This window comes from Homo sapiens, chromosome 6, assembly GCF_000001405.40.
Source record: "Homo sapiens chromosome 6, GRCh38.p14 Primary Assembly".
NCBI lineage: Eukaryota > Metazoa > Chordata > Mammalia > Primates > Hominidae > Homo > Homo sapiens.
In genome coordinates, this window is record NC_000006.12 from 105,183,493 (window position 1) to 105,207,395 (window position 23,903).

At 40.5% G+C, this 23,903-nt stretch overlaps 1 annotated feature.

The window, feature by feature from the left end:
* Window positions 22,768-22,968: a silencer, noted in NCBI's record as "peak5993 fragment used in MPRA reporter construct". NCBI's record gives its function as "represses an SCP1 promoter by STARR-seq MPRAs in K562 erythroleukemia cells {active_cell/tissue: K562}" and the evidence as "EXISTENCE:reporter gene assay evidence [ECO:0000049][PMID:32103011]".

The window sequence follows — 23,903 nt, forward strand, 5'->3', positions numbered from 1 at the left end:
GGCAACCTCTGCCTTCTGGGTTTAAGCGATTCTCCTGCTTCAGCCTCCCAAGTAACTGGGATTATAGGCACCTGCCACCATACCTGGCTAATTTTTGTGTTTTTAATAGAGATGGGGTTTCACCATGTTGGCCAGCCTGGTCTTGAACTCCTGACCTCAAGTGATCCACCCGCCTTGGCCTCCCAAAGTGCTGAGATTACAGGCATGAGCCACCGCACTGGGCCTATTTCTAGCATTTGATATAGCAAACAAATGCTGTGTGCATGCTCCTTGGACACATATGTGATGATTTCTCCAGAATATATGCTCAGAAGTAGGGCTCTGAGTATGTTCATTTTCATTTTATTTGCTGCTGACAAATCGTGCTCCAGAGTGTCTGTGTCCATTTATATCCCTACCAGGTATGTAGGAGAGTGCTCCTTCCTGCACTCTCCTTTCTTCACAACCCCCAGTGACACCTGATATTACCCAACTTTAAAATTTTTGCTCTAACTCTCTTTCATATTCCTGTTCTCCTCTCTTGTTTTGCATTTTCCTTTTCTTCCTCCTCCTTCTCTCTCTCTTCTCTCATGTTTCCTGCCTCTCTTCCCTCTCTTTCTCAGTTTTTTCTCTTCTTTGGTTTGCTCTTTTGCTTTGTAAAAATTTATAATTTGTTTTAATTTAACATTTATAATCTTTAAAATTTAATTTATAATTTATTTTATAACCTGATTCATAATGACGATTATGAAAATATCTGTCAGCAAATATACATTTATAAAATAACTGCCAACGACTGCAGTGGGTTGTACATTAGCGGCCAACCATCTTTTAAAAAAAAAATTTGATGTAAAATAACCATAACATAAAAGTAACCATCTCAAAATGTACAAGTCAGTGACATTTAGCACATTGAGTGTTGTGCACCAAACACCTCTATCTAGCTTCAAAACATTTCATCCCCCCAAAGGAAAACTCCATACACATAAAGCCTTCACTTTCCAATTCCCCTTTCTCCCCTGGGAACCACTGACCTGCTTTTTGTCTCTATGGATTTTCCTATTCTAGATATTTAATATAAATGGAATCATACAACATATGACATTGTATGTCTGGTTTCTTTCACTTGGCATCATGTTTTTGAGGTTAATCCACATTGTAGCATGTAGAAACTTCTTCCTTTTTATGGCTAAATAATATTACATTGTTTATTATGCCATAGTTTGTTAATCCATTATCTGTTGATGAACATTTGGGTATTTCCACCATTTGACTATTGTGAATAGTGCTGCTATTAACATTTGTGTGTAAGTTTTTGTTTGAATACTTTTGGCTATACACCTAGGGGAAGAATTGCTGGGTCATATGGTAATTCCATGTTTATTTTTTTAAGGAACTACCAAACTGTTTTCTATAACAACTGTATCATTTTGCAGTCCTACTAACAATGTATGAGTGTTCTTATTTCTCCACATTCTTGGCAACACTTATTATTTTCTTTTTTTAAAATATAGCTATTTTAGTGGGTGTGAAGTAGTATCTCATTGTTTTGATTTGCATCTCTCTAATGACTCATGATGTTGAATGTCATTTCATGTGATTGTTGGGCATTTGCATATCTTTAGAGGAATGCCTGTTTAAGTCCTTTGCCAATTTTTCAGTTGGGTTGCTTGTCTTTCTGTTGTAGAGTTGTAAGAGTTCTTTGTATATTTTGGATACCAGACAACCTCTATCAGATATATGACTTTCAGCCCGGGATGGTGGCTCACGCCTATAATACCAGCACTTTGGGAGGCCAAGGTGGGAGGATCACCCAAGGTCAGGAGTTCATGACCAGTCTGGCCAACATGGTGATCCCCATCTCTACTAAAAATACAAAAATTAGCTGGGCGTGGTGGCGGGCACCTGTAATCCCAGCTGAGGGAAGAGAATCGCTTGAACCCAGGAAGCGGAGCTTGCAGTGAACCAAGATCATGCCATTTCACTCCAGCCTGGGCAACAAAGTGAGACTCTGTCTCAAAAAAAAAAAAAAAAAAAAAAAAAGATATATAACTTTCAAGTGTTCTCTCTCTTTCTGCGGGTTGTCTTTTCATTATCTTGATAGCGTCCTTTGATATCCAAAAGTTTTTTGTTTTGTTTGTTTTGTTTTTTGAGACAGAGTTTCACTTTGTCACCCAGGCTGGAATGCAGTGGCACAATCTTGGCTCACTAAAACCTCCACCTCCTGGGTTGAAGCAGTTCTCCTGCCTCAGCCTCCTGATTAGCTGGGACTACAGTTGCATGCCACCACACCAGCTGATTTTTTGTATTTTAGTAAAGACGGGGTTTCACCGTGTTGCCCAGGCTGTTCTTGAACTCCTGAGCTGAGGCAATCCCCCCGTCTTGGCCTTCCAAAGTGCTACGATTACAGGCGTGAGCCACTGCACCTGGCCATAATGCCCAAAAGTTTTTTAATCTTGCTGATTTCTAATGTATTTATTTTTCTTTTGTTGCTTGTACTTTCTTTTGGGATCATATCTAATAATTCATCGCCAAATCCAAGGTCATGAAGATTTATCCGTATGTTTTTTGTAAGAGTTTTAGAAGTTTATGGTTTAAAATATTATATTTAGTTTATTGATCTATTTTGAGTTAGTTTGTGTATATCTTGTGGATACATTTTGTATCTATATTTATATATTTATATATACCCAACTTCATTGTTTTGCACGTAGATATCCAGTTGTCTCAGCAATATTTGTTGAAAAGTCTATTCTTTTCCTATGGAGTGATATTGGCACCCTTATTGAAATCAACTGACTATAGATATATGGGTTATTTCTGGACTCTCAATTTTAATTTTATTCCATATATTGATCTATATGTCTATTCTTTTTTTTTTTGGGGGGGACACAGTCTCACTCTGTCACCCAGGCTGGAGTGCGGTGGCATGATCTTGGCTCACTGCAACCTCTGCCTCCTGGGTCCAAGCGATTGTCCTGCCTCAGCCTCCTGAGTAGCTGGGATTACAGGCACGTGCCACCATGCCTGGCTAATTTTTGTATTTTTAGTAGAGACGGGGTTTCACCATGTTGGCCAGGCTGGTCTTGAACTCCTGACCTCAGGTGATCCATACGCCTGAGGCTCCCAAAGTGCTGGTATTAAAGGCATGAGCCACCGCATTGCCCAGCCTATATGTCTATTCTTAATGCCAGTACCACACTGTTTTGATTACTTAGTAATTTTTTTGTTTTTTTTCTAGTAAGTTTTGAAATCAGGAATTATGAGTCTTCCAAACTTTTTTTTCCTTTTTCAAGATTGTTTTGGCTATTTGTGGTCCCCTGCAATCCATATGAATGTTATGATTTGTTCCACATCTTAAAAAGGGTCATTAGTATTTTAATAGGAATTATAAAGATCTGTAAAACACTTTGGGTAATACTGCTATCTTAAGTCTTCCAATACATGAACATTTATTTAGGTCTTCTCTAATTTCTTTCTGCAATGTTTTTCATATTCAATGTACCAGTCTTGTGTCTTCCTGACTAAATTTGTTTCTAACCCTTTTGCTTTTGTTTTCAGTGTCCATCTATCTGCCCCCCTCCTTTTTTGGTCTCAGAAGCTGACTCTTTCCCTCATTAAAATATCAAGTCCATTTCATAGCTATAGATCAAAGCACTTCTTGTTGCTGTAAAGACTCCATCCACTTCCTTACTCTTCCTGCAATCTTGCTCATAGAAAGTCCTTGAGCTTCTCTCCTCTTCACACACGTCAGAGGCAAGGCTGTCAGAGCTGCTTCCAGAACTGAGAGTGACAATTGTTTTTTAGGTAGGTAGGAGCCCAGCAGGCCTTAGGGCAGCAGGACCTGAGCCGGAGATTTAGTCAGGAGAATAGGAAACCTTTTGAGATGCAGTTCAGTAAAGCACACTACTATATGAAGTCACTCTGATGTAGAAGTTGCTTTAATATGTGGGAGTGGTGAATGGAATATGTCTAATTTTCTACCTTATAAGTAATAGTTGGCTTGTTGCTAAGGTTTTCATTAAGAAAGCACATTTTGAAATTTAGTAGCCTGGCCGGTCACCAGTGGCTCATGTCTGCAATCCCGGCACCCTGGGAGGTTGAGGTGGGTGGTTTGCTTGAACTCAGAAGTTTGAGACCAGCCTAGGAAACACGGCAAAACCGTGTCTCTACAAAACACACAAAAATTAGTCGGGTGCAGTGGTGTGCGCCTGTAGTCCCAGTTACTTGGGTGGCTGAGATGGGAGGCTTGAGCCTGGGAGGTTGAGGCTGCAGTGAGCTGTGATTGCATCATTGTAGTTAAGCTTGGGCAACAGAGCGAGATCCTGTCTCAAAATATATTAAATAATAAAATAAAAAAAATAGTAATTCAGTAGCCTAAAGGGATTTTTGAATCACAAATTATATATGAGTTCTAGAGGGGAGAATTAATGTTCAGAATTAGTAGAGAAATGGGAAGTCATTGAAAAATAGAAATACAAACCAACAAAAGTGAAGAGAAAACAAGAAGATGAAAAGGTGGATTCCTCTGTAAGGACTTTAAGATTTTTATTGATTATTTTTCCATATTATAGTATGCTTCAAACCCAATTCTATTAAGAAATTGTAGTTGAAAACATTTTTGTTTAGACATGTTGGCTTTTTTAAAGTTATAACTTTCATAAATGTTTATAGAATATTTGTACCAGTATCATCTTTAACAGGTACAAGACAAAAACCCTCAACAGTTACAAGACTAAAAATTACAGAACTAAAAAGAACAGTAGATCTTACAGAAGATCATCAAAACAAAGTGTGGCTGAAACACAAGCTCTAGAAACAGTTCTGAGATCAGGCTGCTAATTTTACCATTGGCCTGGTGGTTAAGTGGGGTGGGCAATTTTTGAATTTTCATATTCTTAGAGCCCAGAGGGGCCTTACTGATCAGAGGCTTATCACTCATGTTAATTTGCATTGGTTCTTCTTAGGTTTTAATATTAACCGCAAGCTCGGAGGCTATAATTAAGATGATAAGATGATTTAAATGTTAAGCATCATTAGATATTTAGCTTCTTTTTTTTTTTCAAGAAAAGCAAAAAAAAAGTGTCTGACCCCTTAAAGATGCCATACTAGATTGGACCTGGAGGAAGTGTCAGACTTTTCCTCTCTAGGTTGGCTTTTATAAGCAAGGTGATGCAAATTAAGCACTGGCACAGCAACTGGCACATAGTTTATTTCATTATTGTTGTTATTACCATTATCTGTATGATAGACTTTTATATATATGAGTTTCTTAAGGAAAAATTATATATATTAAATATATGATCTTTGATATTAGAAGTGATATTTATCTTTTTACGCCTTCTGTTTTTTCCTTTTTTAATCTTGAACTATATGTATAATTCGATAAAAGCAATTGAAAGACAAAGAACTCTTTAGAGAGAGCAAGGCCACAAGAAAGGATCCTGACTTTATTATGGACCAGGCAATTCGAGTAATTGGTCTCCTTCACAAGCCTATTTCTATAGAGGAGATGGGCTTGTCCGGTGGTCACAGGTAGCTGGCACCAGCCATCAGAAACAACTGACAAACCCCCTCGTCACACCAACCCACTGATTCGGGTGACTAAGTACCCTCCTTGCACTTCCTCCAGGCCAGGAGGGGAGGTCTGGACACTTGGCATGTAGGTAGTGGTATCCTCTCTCACTCAGTAGCGTCCTTAGAACCCTGCACATGTGAAGCAGCTCCTTTGGGGCTGCCTGGCCTGAAAACATTCCTGTTGAACAGTCACTTTTCCTGTGAATTGTGTCTCTGGGTCTCATTTCCTCATCGTTAAATGAGAGGAAGACAGTGATGTCTGTTCCCCCTTTATACAGGCTTTCCAGGAATCAGCTGAGTGTATCTGATCTCTCTCACTTTGCCACATTTATTAGTGATGTCCGGGGGTGGATTCCTAGAATCGCCAGATAGAAAGATGTCTTTGTAGGGCGCCCATCCAGCCCATCTTCAAGGAGGATTGCAACCAAACAGGGAAGGCTGCCAGCGCTGATTCTTCCTCAGCTTCCTTGCATCACTTATTTATGGACCTAAAACCCAGTAATGCCTTCTATTCCACTCTAAATCTTTCCACTCTTAAACAGAATCCCTCTTGGGACTTCTTTCAGAAAAATCAGTTCCTTAGTCTTCTCTGGACTGTCTCCAGTTACTTCGTATTGTCTTGAATTGAAGTTGAGGAGCTCTGAACTCAGTGTTTCCTCCAATAGATACTAAGCAGTCTTGAGCAGAGGAAAAGGCAACTTGTATCCCTCAATGCCATGTAACAGTGATGCTAGGCCACGGGAGCACTCTGTAGAGGGAAAGTAGGGGCTTCGATGGCTAAGAGAATTGAAAACAAGATTCTGCTCCACAGTTTGCCTGCTGGTGATCACTGGCAAGGAGTTTACTTTGCCTCAGTTCTCAAAAGGTAAAAGAGGAATAATAATAATACTTCATGGCCGGGCACGGTGGCTCACGCCTGTAATCCCAGCACTTTGGGAGGCTGAGGTAGGCGGGTCATGAGATCAGGAGATTGAGACCATCCTGGCCAACATGGTGAAACCCTGTCTCTATTAAAAATACAAAAATTAGCTGGGTGTGGTGGCGTGTGCCTGTAGTCCCAGCTACTCAGGAGGCTAAGGCAGGAGAATCCCTTGAACCCAGGAGATGGAGGTTGCAGTGGGCCGAGATTGCGCCACTGCACTCCAACCTGGCGACAGATTGAGACTCTGTCTCCAAAATAATAATAATAATAATACTTCATAAGGTCATTATGAGGAGTAAGTGAGGTGGTATATAGAAAATGCTTGGTTTATCTTGTATATATTTTTTCATACAAAAGATGCTTACATACAAGACAATCACATCATCAAGTGTTCAATGGAAGAAATGTGATCTTTTCCAACGCTGAAGAAAAAAGTGACTATCGTGAACTTACTGAAAAACAGAACTGTCCTGTATTCTAAGGGATTTTCAGGGGTAATTTTAACTGTCTTTAATTTTTGCCTGAAATGCTGGGCCTAGCTCCACGATAAACTGCAATTCCCCTGGGTAAGAGTTTGCCTTACTATTTTACAGTTCTCTGCAGCTTACAAAGCAGTTCCTATAATCTTTTTTCTTTTTTTAAGTTTAGTGATTTTGGAACCATTGCCCCAAAGATAAATAACGTTTATAGGCCTCAAGGAAAGAGAACTTGATTTAGAAGTATCTCCTTCAATCACTGGAAATCCCTATGAAATAGAAAAAATCCAGCAAAACATATATGAGCAGTGTTTGAAGTAGTCAATGTATGAGATAAAAGGTACATCCCCAGATTTTTAAAACAAAGAAAAAAATGTGTTGCAAATGGGCAAGTTTCTTTAGATCTAATAAGAAACAGATGAAGAAAAAAACCTAAAACCTTAGGATATTTTCCATATGCTCAATAAGGTAGATAACAACCGCTTATAATCAGGCACCATTCTAAGCAGTTTACATGTATTAAGGCATTTAATCCTCCTGTGAACTTATAAGCAGGTATTGTTTCCATTCGCCTTTTCTGGATAAGGAAGCTCAGGCATAGAAAGATTGATTTCCCCAAGGTTTCACAGCAGCACATGTGGCAGAGCTGGATTCCTACTCAGGCAGCAGGCTCTGAGAAGCCACACCTTTCACCACTGTACCATGTTGCTCTTCTGGAGTGTTGCTGGTTGGGAACTTCTAGCACAGGCCTGTCTTTATCCTAAAGTAGGAAGCAGTATAGCACAGTAGTTAAATACACATTTGGGGGTTATCTGTTAGGTTGGGGCAAAAGTAATCGCAGTTTTTTTGACATTAAAAGTAATGCCAAAAAGCGGGATTACTTTTGCCCCAACCTGAATCAATAATTTTTCTTTTTACCCCTGGCTCCACCACTTGATGGAGAATCAGGGAAGGGCAATTTGATGAATTTCCTTGCTCCTTCCATCTCAAATCCTGGCTGGTAAAGAAATTGAAGTCTAAAGGATTAAGATATTTAAAATAGAAATCATGTTCTGTACCCAAACACTGAGTTGTTTTGCCACCTTCTGAGTCAGCTTGATTCAGAAAGCTTCCTGTACATCAGCTGTTTCAGATCACTAAGTGGTGTTTTTTTTTTTAAATGCAATCTACTAATGCAATGAATAAGGCGTGTGAATTATGGAGAAAATGAATTTGTGTATTAACATTAACTTAAATAAGATAAATTCTCACTATTTCCTCTGACTCAGTGCAAAATCTTTACTATCACCTAAAGTATAATTATTATATTCATTTAATAGTTAGGCAGCTAGTAGGAGTAGCTACCATTTGTTGAGCACTTACTTTGAATTAGGAGCTTTACTTAAAACCCTTTCCCCTTTTCCCTGAGAATACTTGCCAGCAGTGCTAAGAGCAGCAGCATTTACCCTGAGATAACTTGGCCACTAAATGTCTTGCTTTTATTATTATTTTCACATCACTCTAGTATATCAACTTTGGAAACAAAACGTATCATTCTATTTATAGCATTCTGCGTTTTTTTGTTTGTTTGTTTTGAGACAGAGTCTTACTCTGTTGCCCAGTGGCGCGATCTTGGCTCACTGCAACCTTTGTATCCCGGGTTCAAACGATTCTCGTGCCTCAGCCTCCAGAGTAGCTGGGATTACAGGTGCCCGCCACCAAGGCCGGCTAATTTTTTGTATTTTTAGTAGAGACAGAGTTTCACTATGTTGGCCAGGCTGGTCTCGAACTCCTGACCTCAAATGATCCACCCGCCTTGGCCTCCCAAAGTGCTGGGATTACAGGCATGAGCCACTGCACCCGGCTAATGTTTGTATTTTCAGGAGAGACGAGGTTTCACCATGTTGGCCAGGCTGGTCTCGAACTCCTGACCTCAAGTGATCTGCCCGCCTTGGCCTCTCAGAGTGCTGGGATTACAGCTATAGCATTCTGTTTTTAGTAGTGGTATTTCCATATACAAAATACAGTAATTCTAAATTGCTAAAAATGTCAAATCCTAGAAAACATAGTATTCCTACACAGGATGTTAGCATCATTCTCGAACAGTTGTTGGCCAAAGATTCATTTGATGAACCTGATTTTTCCAAAATAGACAATTCTGTTGTTAGTTCTGTTTAGAAATAACTCCAAGAACAGTTTTTATATTTTATTTTCACATTGAAAACCAGTCAGATGTGCTTCAGCCTCAAAGAGCATGTTTATATAAAATTAAATGAGTGCTGGCAGCGAGCCGCACTTTTTTTTTTCTAAACAGGAAAAGGGTTAAACTATCTTGTTCAATTTCTTAGCGAGGTTGGTTGATGAGAAATTGACACATAGAGCAGTCTCCAGCATCTAGCTTCAGTTCCCAGTAGAATCTAAAGTGATAGAGGCAGTGTTAAAACTGAGTCATCCTGATGCCCATGTGTGAGTATTTAACCACAATCCTCTACTGATTCCCAAAGTATAAAGACAAGGCTATATTTACAGCTTCTGACTTGCCACAGCACAGCTTTAAAAGTCAGTATCTGTCTTATAGCTATTTTGTTACAAAATGTGCATAGTTGTTGATCCCTGAGTATGCTGCATCCCTAGATTACTCTCCGATGTGGCAGATTCCAAACTCTGATCCTCACTAACAAATCTTCAAACTGAAAAAATAAGAGGCTTATTTATGGCTCTCTCAAAAACTAGTATCCAAAGTGATATGGCTTGGATATTAATGCCTTCCAGTTCTCGTGTTGAACTGGAATGAAATGTGATCACCAGTGTTGGAGGTGGAGCCTGGTGTTTGGGTCATGGGGATGGATCCTTCATGAATGACTTGGTGCCCTCCCCTTGGTGATGAGCAAGTTCTCACTCTGCTAGTTCACGTGAGAGCTGGTTGTTTAAAAAGTCTGGGACCTCTCTCCCTCCCTCTCTATTGCTCCATCTCTCATCATGTGAAACACCTGTGACCCCCTTTGCCTTCTGTCATGATTGTAAGCTTCCTGAGGCCGTCATAGAAGCATTAGCTTTATGCTTCTGTATGCACTATGCTTCTTGTACAATCTGCAGAACTGTGAGCCAAAATAAACCTCTTTTATTCATAAATTACCCAATCTTCAGGTATTTCTTTATAGCAATGCAAAACAGACTAATACACAAAGGAAGGAAAATCGATGGGTACACTTCTTCAAATGTGGACAGAAGATTAGCCCTTATGAACTCAATCTCTGACTCTGAGTTATTTCACAGTAGCAAGGGCAAAAAAAATCTTGGTTGTGTTAATCACATTTCAATGAAACACCAAGTTTTATAGAAATCATCCCCAGATTGTTGTTTGGTTTCTGGCACATTAATACAACTAATTCATCAGCAGAATGAGCAAGCCATTCTTGCAACAGAGCCAACCTTCCTTTAATGAAACAGAGCTACCACAAGCTGTTCTCTGGAATCTGGGAAAGGACTATATTAGCCTACGCTATGCATGTTTTGCTTTTGGATTCAGTTGGCCACTGACAAGTATGTGATTGTAGTCAATGTTTAATGCAACAGGAAAACAAGTTACAGGACATCAGTTCCAGGTTCTTACTGGTTTATCTTTCAAGTATGCTTTTTCTAAGTTACCTAAACAACACATATAATATACATACATTTGCATAGACACATACCATTTCAGGACATATGAATTTCTTCATTGTGTGACCTTCTGTTCACTAACTAAAATGGGTGAGAGAAGAAAACAAAAATGAACCAATTTACACTGGAAATGGGAACCAAAGCAACTAATCTTAAGTTTGAACAGCTCCTACTTCCTCTCCATCTCAGAGGCACAGAAACAAATGGGTCAGATCTGGTTGCCATGTGTGTAGACAGCCAGTAGCAATTCTCTGCCAGCACTCAGCTGACAAAGTAGACCTAGAGAACAGAGATGGGTGGAAAGGGGTGGGAAGAGAGGTTGTTTCTCTCTCCAGTTTTTCAGAAAACACTAATGACCTGTTGAGAAAGAAAACAGAGCTTGTCAACATGTATGTGGCCCTACGACACACTTCAAGTAAGATATATGTGATAGCCAGGTACATTTTATAAAGTGTATCTGGTGCATGATTCTCCTGATAAACTGAGATTTTTGGCTTAAAGAGTAAATTGATCTTGGGGCTAAAGCGGGGCTGAGGAGGTCCTCTGTGGAAGCTATCATAACATTTCTGAGCTACAAGGATATATGATCAGCTCCTATGATCTAGAGTTGGCAAAATTGTGCACGTGTATTCAGGGTGGGATGAGAGAATGTGGCCAGAATCACAACAGGAGGAAATGAAAAGTAGAGCTGTCACAGTGGTGGGAAGGAGAGAAGTGGCCCTAAGGACGTCAGTATATTCAAATGTTAAATTATCCTTTAGCTGCTCCTGGGTGTAAAACTCTTGAGTTAATCCACTTTATACCACATAGAAAAACAAATATCTACCAGACAAAGGAGAAGTCATAAAAATTCATCTGAACAGCTCAAAAACAGTATGTATGGACTACTTCTTACTTGGGGCTTTAAAAAAAATCTTCCCAGTATGGCTGGTTATTGAACTCCATTGGAATTCATTCCAAAAATCTCTTTTGTTTCTTGAGCTGCACAGAGAAATCAATTTAAATTACAAACTGGAATGTTAAATACCAACCTCAAATTTAACTGCAATAATTCCATATCCCTGTGAAATATAATATTCACTCTTTTATTTTGTCTTGAAGATGGAAGGGCAAAGGAAGGAGAAATAAAAAGTTCTCTCTCAAGTTTCTCTTATCTCATTAGGAGCAAAGGCTGAGTGCAGTGGCTCACACTTGTGATCCTAGCTCTTTGGGAAGCCAAGGAGGGAGGATTGCTTGAAGCTAGGAGTTCAAGACCAGCCTGGGCAACATAGAGCGAAATTGTCTCTACAAAAAATTAAAAAATGAGCCAGGTGTGGTGGTACATGCTTGTGGTCCCTACTTGGGAGGCTGAGGTGGGAGGATTGCTTAAGTCTGGGAGATCGAGGCTGCAGTGAGCCACGATCATGCCACTGCACTCTAGCCTGGGTGACAGAAAGAGACCTGTCAAAGAACAAAAGAAAACAAAGGGATCAGAGAGGTTGAGATGTAGAGATTTGTAGTATTTCTATGTAAAGATTGAACATGGAAGAAGATACAGGCATTCCTTGCTTAACTGTATTTCACTTTATTGCATTTCATAGGTGCTGCATTTTTTTTTTATGGCAGGGGACAGAGTCTCGCTCTATCACCTAGGCTGAAGTACACTGGTGCAATCTCAGCTCACTACAACCTCTGCCTCCTGGGTTCAAGCGATTCCCCTGCCTCGGCCTCCCAAGTAGCTGGGACTACAGGGCCTGCCACCACACCTGGCTAATTTTTGTATTTTTAATAGAGACGGAGTTTCACCATGTTGGCCAGGTTGCCTCAAGAGATCCACCTGCATTGGCCTCCCAAAGTGCTAGGATTACAGGTGTGAGCCACTGCACCTGGCCTTTTTTTTTTTTTTAAGTGAATGTTTGTGGCAATCCTACTTCAAGCAAGTCTATTGACATCATTTTTCAACAGCATGTATTCACTTCTTGTCTCTGTTTCACATTTGGTAATTCTTGAAATATTTCAAACTTTTTCATTATTATTATGTCTGTTATGGTTACCTGCGATCAGTGATTTTTGATGTTATTATTACAATTGTTTTGGGGTACCACAAGCCACACCCACATAAGATGGCGAACTTAATGTGTTGTGTGTGTTCTGACTGCTCCATCAACCAGCCTTTCCCCTGACTCACTTTCTCTCCTCCAGTTTCCTCATTCCATGAGATATAACAATATTGGAATTAGGCCAATTAATAATCCTGCAATAGCCTTTAAGTGTTCAGGTTAAAGGAAGAGTCACATATCTCACTTCAAATCAAAACAAGACATAATTAAGCTTAGTGAGGAAGGCATGTCAAAATTTGTGATAGGGGCAGGGGGCAGTGTCTCACACCTGTAATCCCAGCACTTTGGGAGGCCAAGGCAGACAGATCACAAGGTCAGGAGATCGAGACTGTCTTGGCCAACATGGTGAAACCCCATCTCTACTAAAATACAAAAAATTAGCTGGGCGTGGTGGCACATGCCTGTAATCCCAGCTGCTTGGGAGGCGAAGCAGGGGAATCACTTCAACCCAGAAGGCGAGGTTGCAGCGAGCTGAGATGGCGCCACTGTACTCCAGCCTGGCGACAGAGCAAGTCTCAGTCTCAAAAAAATGTGTGATAGTCTGAAAGCCAGGCGTCTTGCACCAAAGAGTTAGCCAAGTTGTGAATGCAAAGAAAAAGTTCTTGAAAGAAATCAAAAGTGCTACTCCAGTGAATACACAAATGATAAGAAAGTGAAACAGCCTTATTGCTGATATGGAGAAAGTTTGAGTGGTCTGGATGGAAGATCAAAACAGCCACAACATTCTCTTAAGCCAAAGCCTAATCCACAGCTGGCCCTAACTCTCTTCAATTCTATGATGGCTGAGGGAGGTGAGGAAGCTGCTGAAGTGCCGGGCACGGTGACTCACACCTGTAATCCCAGCACTTTGGGAGGCTGAGGCAGGAGGATCACAAGGTCAGGAGATCGAGACCATCCTGGCTAACATGGTGAAACCCCATCTCTACTAAAAATATAAAAAATTAGCCAGGCGTGGTGGCGGGTGCCTGTAGTCTCAGCTACTCGGGAGGCTGAGGCAGGAGAATGGCGTGAACCCAGGAGGCAGAGCATGCAGTGAGCCAAGATGGTGCCACTTGCACTCCAGCCTGGGCGAGAGTGCGAGACTCCGTCTCAAAAAAAAACCAAAAATCAAAAAACAACAAAAAAAAGAAAGTTGCAGAACAAAAGTGTGAAGCTAGCAGAAGATGGTTCAAGAGGTTTAAGGAAATAAGCCATCTCCATAACATAAAAGTGCAAGCTGCAGCAGGAAGTGCTGATGTAGAAGCTGCAGCAAATTATCCAGAAGATCTAACTAAGATCACTGTTGAAGGTGGCTACACTAAACAACAGATTTTCAATGTAGATAGAACAGCCTTCTATTGGAAGAAGATGCCATCTAGAGAAGAGAAGTCAATGCCTGGTTTCAAAGCTTGACTCTCTTGTTAGGGGCTAATGCTTATTCATCATTCCAAAAATCCTAGGGACCTTAAGAATTATGCTAAATCTGCTCTGCCTGTCCTCTATAAACAGAACAACAAAGCCTGGATGACAGCACATCTGTTTGCAGCATGCTTTACTAAATATTTTAAGCCCATAGTTGAGACCCACTGCTTAGCAAAAAATAACTTTCTCAAAAGATGACTGATTATTGACAATGCACCCGCACACCTGAGAGCTCTGACAGAGATATATAAGGATATAAATGTTTTCATGCCTGCTGACATAGCATCCATGGATCAAGGAGTAATTTTGACTTTCAAGTCTTATTATTTAAGAAATACATTTCGAGACCATCCTGGCCAACATGGTGAAACCCTGTCTCTACTAAAAATACAAAAATTAGCTGGGCATGGTGGCATGCACCTGTAGTCCCAACTACTTGGGAGGCTGAGGCAGAAGAATCACTTGAATCTGGGAGGCAGAGATTGCAGTGAGCCGAGATCATGCCACTGCACTCCAGCCTGGTAACACAGCAAGACTCTGTCTCAAAAAAAAAAAAAAAAAAAAACAAAAAAACATTTCACAAGGATATAGCTCCCATAGGTAGTGATTCTTCCAATGGATCTGGCAAGTAAATTGAAAACCTTCTGGAAAGGATTCACCATTCTAAATGCCATTAAGAATATTCATGAATCAGCCGGGTGCAGTGGCTCAGGCCTGTAATCCCAACGTTTTGGGAGGCTGAGGCGGGCAGATCACTTGAGGTCAGGAGAGCAAGACCAGCCTGGCCAACATAGTGAAACCCTCTCTCTACTAAAAATACAAAAAATAAAATAAAAAATAAAATAAATTAGCTGGGGGGTGGTAGTGGATGCCTGTAATCCCAGCTACTTGGGAGGCTGAGGCAAGAAAATCGCTTGAACTCAGGAGGCAGAGGTTGCAGTGAGCCAAGATCATGCCATTGCACTCCAGCCTGGTTGATGGAGTGAGACTCCATCTCAAAAAAAAAAAAAAAAAAAAAAACATTCATGATTCATAGGAGGAGGTAAAAATATCCACATTAACAGGAGTTTGGAAGAAGTTGATTCCAGTCCTCATGGATGACTCTGAAGGGTTCAAGATTTCAGAGTCTTGGAGGCAGTCCCTGCAGATGGGGCGGAAATAGCAATAGAACTAGAATTAGAAGTGGAAACTGTAGATATGATTGAATTGTTGCACTCTCATAATAAAACTTGAATGGATGGCGAGTTGCTTTTTAGGGATGAACAAATAAAGTGGTTTCTTGGGATGGAATCTACTCCTGGTGAAGATGCTATGAACATTGTTAAAGTGATAACAAAGGTTTTAGAACATTCCATAAACTGAATTGATAAAGCAGTGGCCAGTTTGAGGGGATTGACTCCAATTTTTTTTTTTTTTTTGAGATGGAGTCTCGCTCTGTTGCCCATGCTGGAGTGCAGTGGCACGATCTTTGCTCGCTGCAACCTCCACCTCCCGGGTTCAAGTGATTCTCCTGCCTCAGCCTCCCGAGTAGCTGGGATTACAGGTGACCGCCACCAAGCCTGATAATTTTTGTATTTTTAGTAGAGACAGGGTTTCACCATGTTGGCCAGGCTGGTCCTGAACCCCTGACCTCAAGTGATCCGCCGCCTTGGCCTCCCAAAGTGCTGGGATTACAGGCGTGAGCCACTGCACTCGGCCAATTTTGAAAGAAGTTCTGCTGTGGGTAAAATGCCATCAAACAGCATTAGCTGCTGAGATAAATCTTTGAAAGGAAGAGTCAAGAGATGCAGCAAACTTCATTTTTGTCTTATTTTAAGAAATTGCACAGCCACTACAAGCTTCAGCAGTCACCATCTCCATCAGTCAGCAGCCATCAACATCAAGGCAAGACCCTCCATCAGCAAAAAGAATACAACTCGATGAAGGTTCAGATGATCTTTAACATTTCTTGGCAATAAAGTATTTGATAATTAAGGTGTGTACCTTGTTTTTTTTTTTAAATATAATGTTATTGCACACTTCGACTACAGTATAGTATAAACATAACTTTTATATGCTTGGGAAACCAAATAATTTGTGTGACTCACTTTATTGCAGTATTCGCTTCATTGTGGTGGTCTGGAACCAAACCCACAATATCTTCAAGGTATGGCTGTACCTTAAATTGAATAAGGCCACAGAGAATAATCCCCATTATTTTATGCCCTTTAGTAATGATATAGCACCTGCCCATGCGTTCCCACCACTCTCCTCATGGTGACAGTTCATGCCAAAATAATCTGAGTAACATGTCCCTGCAGAGACAGCCGTGGCATGAGTGGCAGCAAGCCCGGGCTTTTCATGTGCTCTTTTGACCTCAGCCTCTTTATTCCATTCTGGGCAGACCCAACTAGCCGAGAGTAAAGAGACAGAAAGAAAGCAGAGAGCCTCTCCATCGGCCCGTGGTGGTGGACTGGGTGAGGGAAGGAGCCTCCTCCTCAACTCAAAGAAACTTCTTTCAAAAGATAAGAACTTCAGCACCATAGGAAAGTTAAAAAAGAAAAAGAAAAAAAAAGAAAAATCAAAAGAAGAGAACTGTCTGCTTTCTACGTGGGGCAGAGATGTAAGCACAATTAGACATCCAATTTACAAGGCTTTACTTTCATCATCTCCTTTAAGTCTCCGCATAAGCCAGTGAAGAAGGTGGGAGCTGGCATAATGTAATACTTAACCTTTCCATTTATGGACAGTAAGCTGTGGGCCAGGTCCTCTAGCAGGATCACGAATATAAAGGTAATACAGTGAGGTCCCGGTTCTGAAGGGAGTGACATGCATTGTAGTGGGTATGTAGCAGGGAAATCGAGACAGGAAATTGTACATGGAATTGCTGTGAGTGTTAGTGTCTATTTTCAGAAGAGGCCGAGTTTGCATTAAAGGACTTAAGAATTTGGTCTTGGCAAGAAGATGGGAGATTCTGACATTTTTCATGCTGTTAAAATTCTTTGCTAGATGATGTTTTAGCAATTGGCATAAATAATTTCTTCATATTCACTTCATTCTAAAAAGTATTTGAAATATCTTCAAAGGTAAAATTGCCAAGTATTTCCCTGGAAACATAGATATGGGAAGTATCCAAATTATCTAAGAAGTTGTATCAAGTTTATATTGTCAATGCTGAGTTTATGTGTGTATGTATGTATGTATTTATTACTTGAGACAGGATCTTGCTGTATTGCCCAGGCTGGGGTGTAGTCATTGAGCATGATCATAGCTCAATACAGCCTTGAACTCCTGGGGTGATCCTCCTGCCTAATCCTTCCAAGTAGCTAGGACTACAGGCATGTGATTTTTGTATTTTTTGTAGAGACAGGGTCTTGCTATGTTACCCAGGCTGGTCTGGAACTCCTGGCCTCAAGCAATCCTCCTGCCCTGGTGTCCCAAAGTGCTAGGATTCCAGGTATGAGCCACCTCACCTGGCTCCTGAATTCACTTTTTAATCTTTTTTTTTTTTTTTTGAGACAGAGTCTCACTCTGTTGCCCAAGCTGGAGTGCAGTGGCATGATGTCGGCTCACTGCAACCTCATCCTCCCAGGTTCAAGTGATCCTCCTGCCTCAGCCTCCTGAGTAGCTGGGACTACAGGTGCACACCACCACACCTGGCTAATATTTGTATTTTTAATAGAGACGGGGTTTCACCATGTTGGCCAGCTTGATCTCAAACTCCTGACCTCAACTGATCTGCCCACCTTGGCCTTCCAAAATGCTGGGATTACAGGCATGAGCCACCATGCCCAGCCCACTTTTTAATTTTTAAAATTAACTATTAAGTAGATCAAAAGTATACTTATAAAATATATGTAAGTCTTGGTTCTCATTGCTGGGAACCTTAAAAAATTCTGTTATGAACAATTTCAAACTTATACAAAAATGAAGAGGGTGAAATAATGAACACCTCTACCTTATCACTCAGCTCCATCAATTATGGCCAGCCTTGTCATAATTACGATTATAATTTCCTAGGAGTGTGTCTATAACTTGACAAAACTGACTCAAAAACAAATGAAATACCTAAACACTCCTAAATAAATTGAATTCATGATAAAAAACCTTCCTACGTTGTTGATCAGAGTATATATTAATAATTACACTCCTAATACTATGCAGCTATAAAAAGGAATAAGATCATGTTCTTCGCATGGACATGGATGAAGCTGGAAGCAAACTAACACAGGAACAGAAAGCCACAACACATGTTCTCACTTTTAAGTAGGAGCTGAAAAATGAGATCACATGAACACAGGGAGGGAAACAACACTCACTGGGGCCTGTTGGGGGGTCGAGTTGGGGGAGGGAGTGTATTAGGAAAAATAGCTAATGCATGTCGGGCTTAATACCTAGGTGATGGGTTGATAGGTGCAGCAAATCACCATGGCACATGTTTACCTGTGTAACAAACCTGCACATCCTGCACATGAACCTCAGAACTCAAAATTAAAATTAAAATTAAAAAAAATAATTCCACTCCTCGATTTATCATTTGACCATGTGCAAGATATATTGTCTAGGTACATAACACAGGAGGAATGCACATTGAAAAGACAAACTGTATGCTTTTAAGTTCCATTCAAAGTCCTCAAAAGTATCTGAATGATTGCAAAATGACTCCCACATATCTGCCAAAAAGACATAGAAGTATTCATAGCAGCATTTTTCCTAACTGTCAAAAATTGAAAACAACAACAACACATATCTATTAATGGTAGGATAGGTAAATTGTGGAATACCATATAACAATGAAAATGAACAAACTATAACCATATCCATAAATCCTCATAAATACAGAGATCATCAAATGAAAGAAGCTCAATATAGTAATATGTAAATCTGTGCAACTGCACTTATATGAGGTTCAGTAACAGACACAACTAATTTATTGTCACTTTGATTTAAATGTGTTCCCCTAAAGTTGATGTGTTAGAAAGTTATTCCCTTTGCCCTCATGAATGGATTAACGGATTATTGAAGGCTCTGCCCTCATAAATGGATTAATGTCACTGTCACAGGAGTGAGTTTGTTAGTGTGGGAGTGGCTTTGTTATAAAGGCGAGCTCTCTTTGGCTCCCTTGTTCTTGCCCTCCTGTCACGGGCTGACCCTCGCCAGATGCTGATGCCATACTCTTGGACTTCCCAACCTCCAAAACTGTAAGAAGTACATTTCTTTTCTTTATAAGTTATCCTGTCTGTTGTATTATGTTATAGAAACAGAAAACAGACTAAGACAATTGTGTTAGGAGTCAAGGTGACTGTTACCCTTGAGAGATTAGTGACAGCGAATGGGCACAAGGGAACTTCAGGGGATCTGGTTGTGTTCTATTTTTCTTTTTTATCTGAAAGCTTATACATATGTGTGTTCATTTTGTGAAAATTCGTTGAACTGTATCCTTTATGTGTGTACTTTCTGTATATATACTTCAATAAAATTTTATATTACAAAAAATTAAAGTGAAATATAATAGCCACAAAATTTAAGTAAATAAAGAAAAGATCTACCTGATGCTGCTCTTATTTTTTTTAAAAAAGGTTTGTGCTAACAGAAAGTGTTAACAGAATGAAACTGTAGCCTTTTAATAACTTTTTCCAGAAAGCTAATGGTCTTAATCTTGAGAAATGGGAATAGGGAAATGAAGATACTTATTCTTCTAAGGGTAGGAAAACACTCCTTCCCTTTAAGATATACTGTAGGATTATGAAGCACACTGTGCCCTTTAGGCCATCAGAAGTCTGACCCATATAGTAATTAATCCTATTCTCTGACAGTTGTCTTCATTGACTGTCCACTCTAAGCCTGTTTCTCCATCTGTAGAAAGGAAAGTCATACCTACCACCCTGCCTGGCAGCTGGTAGGTGATTTTTTTTTTTTTTTTTTTTTTTTTTGAGACAGGGTCTCAATTTGTCATCCAGGCTGGAGTGCAATGATGCGATCTCGGCTCACTGCAACCTCCGCCTCCTGGGTTCAAGTGACTCTCGCGCCTCAGCCTCCCAAGTAGCTGGGATTACAGGCACGCAAGACCACGCCTGGCTAATTTTTGTGTTTTTGTTTTGCTTTGTTTTGTTTTAGACAGACTCGCTCTGTCACCAGGCTGGAGTGCAGTGGTGCAATCTCAGCTCGCTGCAACCTCCACCTCCTGGGTTCAAGTGATTCTCCTGCCTCAGCCTCCTGAGTAGCTGGGACTACAGGTGACTGCCACCACGCCCAGCTTATTTTTGTATTTTTAGTAGAGACGGTGTTTCACCATGTTGGCCAGGATGGTCTCTATCCCCTGACCTTGTGATCCACCCGCCTTGGCCTCCCAAAGTGCTGGGATTACAGACGTGAGCCACCGCGCCTGGCCAATTTTCATCTTTTTTAGTAGAGACGGGGTTTCACCATTTTGGCCAGGCTGGTCTCGAACTCCTGACCTTAAGTGATTTGCCCACCTGGCCTCCTAAAGTGCTGGGATTACAGGCGTGAGCCACAGCGCCCGGCCGGTGATCTTTTGATTATTAATAATGTTATTGGAATATTATCAAACATCATTTGGTTCTAGTTTGTTTTTATTTAATTTCTGCAAATAATTTCATCTGAGCACAACTATTTTCCTGGGAACCCTAAATTATTCCTCTGCATCTACCACAAAGAAAAATCTAGGTGGCTTCCATTCCTTGCCTTTGGTCTCTCTGTACATTTTTTGTCGTTTTTCCTAGTAAAGCATCATCATCTTACTAAGAAATACAGTGGGTCATTTGATTCAAGAGCTATGGTTTGTCTTGTGCTAGAGAAAAATTCCAAGTTCTCTAAGGAAGCATTTCACGTCTGCTTACTCACCAAGACTTGTCTGTAGATTCTTGAATTCCTTTAAAGAATAGTTCAGTTCTACATTTTAATTTATGTCCTTACTTTAAACACAGATTATCCATTATTCTGCTGTTTGTCAGGATTCCTTCATTTTTCATTTTAACCTCATTTTCTGCATCATAGGTTTTCATTCTGAGATGGAGATCAATCATGCTGTCCCAACCTGTTTGTACAGTATTAATCATCCAGTTCTCTCCAATGGGCTTTTCATATGGTTGCCTGTTTTACATCTGTTCATTCCTTTCTCATACAAGATACACAGCCTACTCCTATTTTCTATTTAAAAATCTGATGTAAAATAGTGTATTTTTCCCCACGACATTTTCATTGGCTGAAGACTTATCAGAAACTATTTGGATTAAGGAGGCGCTATCATTTTTATTTATGTTATGTCTTTGTGTTTCATGGTATCTCATCCCCAACTGCTAAAAGAAAGCAGAGCCTACAGTGACCTCTTGAACTGATTCCCACAAGCCTTCTTTCTCAGAGTAGGCAGGTCTCACATTTCCGCAGGGCAGAGATCACGTGATTTCATTTATCAGCTAATCCATAGATATAGCTAGTGATTCTTTTGTTATATAGGATATAGAGATGAATTTATCTGTGGGGCAAATAAAAAACACTGAACAAAAGTTTTATACTTTTAAGACAGCAGAGTGGAAGAAACTTATTCCTAAAAATATTGTTTTCTGAAGACTCAGTCATTCCTGAAGTGAACATAAAATCTTTTACTTTAAAATCAGAGTTAAGATAGCAACTATTAATAATTTATATAGACATTCTGCCACTGCCAGTTACTTTAGTCGTATCATAATAACCATGGTATCATTGATATAATCTAATATTCCTTTGTATTTGAGGTTATGTTAATGACAGTGGCCTTTCCTGTGTTTTTGAAGATAGATAGGAGACTGCTGAATTTTTTTCCCCAGACAAGCATTTGAAGGCTATTATTGGTAGATTTCAAGACTATGGTTTCTGCTTTCATTTGGTAGACAATGGAATGGAATAAAATATACTTGCAAGTACTCCCAAACAGTATATCTGCATTTTTTTTTTTTTTTTTTTTTTTTGAGACAGAGTCTCACTCTTGTTGCCCAGGTGCAGTGGCACAATCTCAGCTCACTGCAACTTCTGTCTTTTGGGTTCAAGGGATTCTCCTGCTTCCGCCTCCTGAGTAGCTGGAATTATAGAAGCCCGCCACTACACCCGGCTAATTTTTGTACTTTTGGTAGAGACAAGGTTTCACCATGTTGGCCAGGCTGGTCTTGAACTCCTGACCTCAGGTAATCCACCCGCCTTGGCCTCCCAAAGTGCTGGGATTACAGGCGTAAGCCACCGTGCCTGGCCTATATCTGCAATTCTTATGGCTGTGATACTTTGGGCAGGTTAATTTTCCCTATTCTTTCTCTTTCCCTGGTTCTTCAGCTTTCCTTTTCAATGCCAGTGTTGCCTAGGGTTCCATCTTTGGTCCTTTTCTTACTGTTACACACTCTCCTTGTGCCTGTGGTCATCACTAGCACCCATACTCCTTGGCTCCCACATCTTCATCTCTAATGAAAGCCCCTCTTCTAAGCCTCCTTTTTCTCTGTATGCAACTGCTGGTTTGCCTTGAAGGTGTTTCCCCTCAGATCTCACTACTAAAACAGGTGATTCTTGGAAGCATTGACTTGCTTTTAACCTAGAATCTCAGTGAACCATGTGTTTGACTGTGTTTCTGTTATAACTTTAATATCATTGCTGCCTCCGCATCCATTTTTAGCCCTAAGTTGTTTCAAACCCAGTGGTACTGCACCACCCTTGGCCCAGTTAAAACGTCCCCTCCCTATGTGGTTGTATACTAGTGAGCCCACTCGTTCCTCATTCTGTTCACCCAAAACCTCCACAGCTGCTAACCTCGATAAAACCTAGTGGTCAACACCAGTCATTCAAATAAGTTTCCCTCTTCTCACGTGCTTTCCTTAAATTAGCCAATCCACAACTCCCTTGGGAAAACGCACTTGCTAAGGCTCATGGGCCTTAATAAAGGCGTCATCCCACAGCGCCTCTCTCTCACTCACCACCCGATGGTTGAGCTCCCTGCTGCCTCCAGACTTTTCGTCAGCCCTCCTAACCTCTCTGGGTCTGTAAGTGATAAAGTTTCTTCTTCTGTTTCATGCATTTTGGTTTGATCTCACCATTGCGTCTCACCTGACCATCACACTGGAAGCTAACTTTCGACCCTCCTAGAGTGCAGCTAACTTGACTTATATGGCCACTGTTGCCAGAGAAACTTTAAGACCAAAATGGAAACCGTAACAGTAAAAATCATAACAGGGCTGGGCGCAGTGGCTCACGCCTGTAATCCCAGCACTTTCGGAGGCCGAGGCGGGTGGATCACCTGAGGTCAGGAGTTTGAGACTGGCCTGGCCAACATGGTGAAACCCCGTCTCTACTAAAGATACAAAAAAAAATTAGCCGGGTGAGGTGGCAGGCACCTGTAATCCCAGCTACTTGGGAGGCTGCGGCAGGAGAATTGCTTAAATCTGGGAGGTGGAGATTGCAGTGATCCGAGACTAGGCCATTGCACTCCAGCCTGGGCAACAAGAACGAAACTCTGTCTCAAAAAAAAAAAAAAAAAAAAAAAAGAAAAGAAAATTGTAACAGTTTTCCTCTGTTTTGCCACTAGGAGATTCAGGACAGATTTGGTGGCCTATCTGTAGCTGTTTAAGATCTGTATTTTGTGTATTAAATTAACCTCAATTCCCCTTGCCCAAACTTTTTGTCTGTTTTTTACCCTGTTGTAATGTATAAATTGATATAACCTTGCTTTTAAACTAGGAGGGGGTATGAATATAAGTAATATATGATGTAATATATTTTGTATATACAGACTATTTATATAATCGTTTGTATATATAGTCCTCCCTCAGTATCCATGGGGGATTGTTTTCAGGA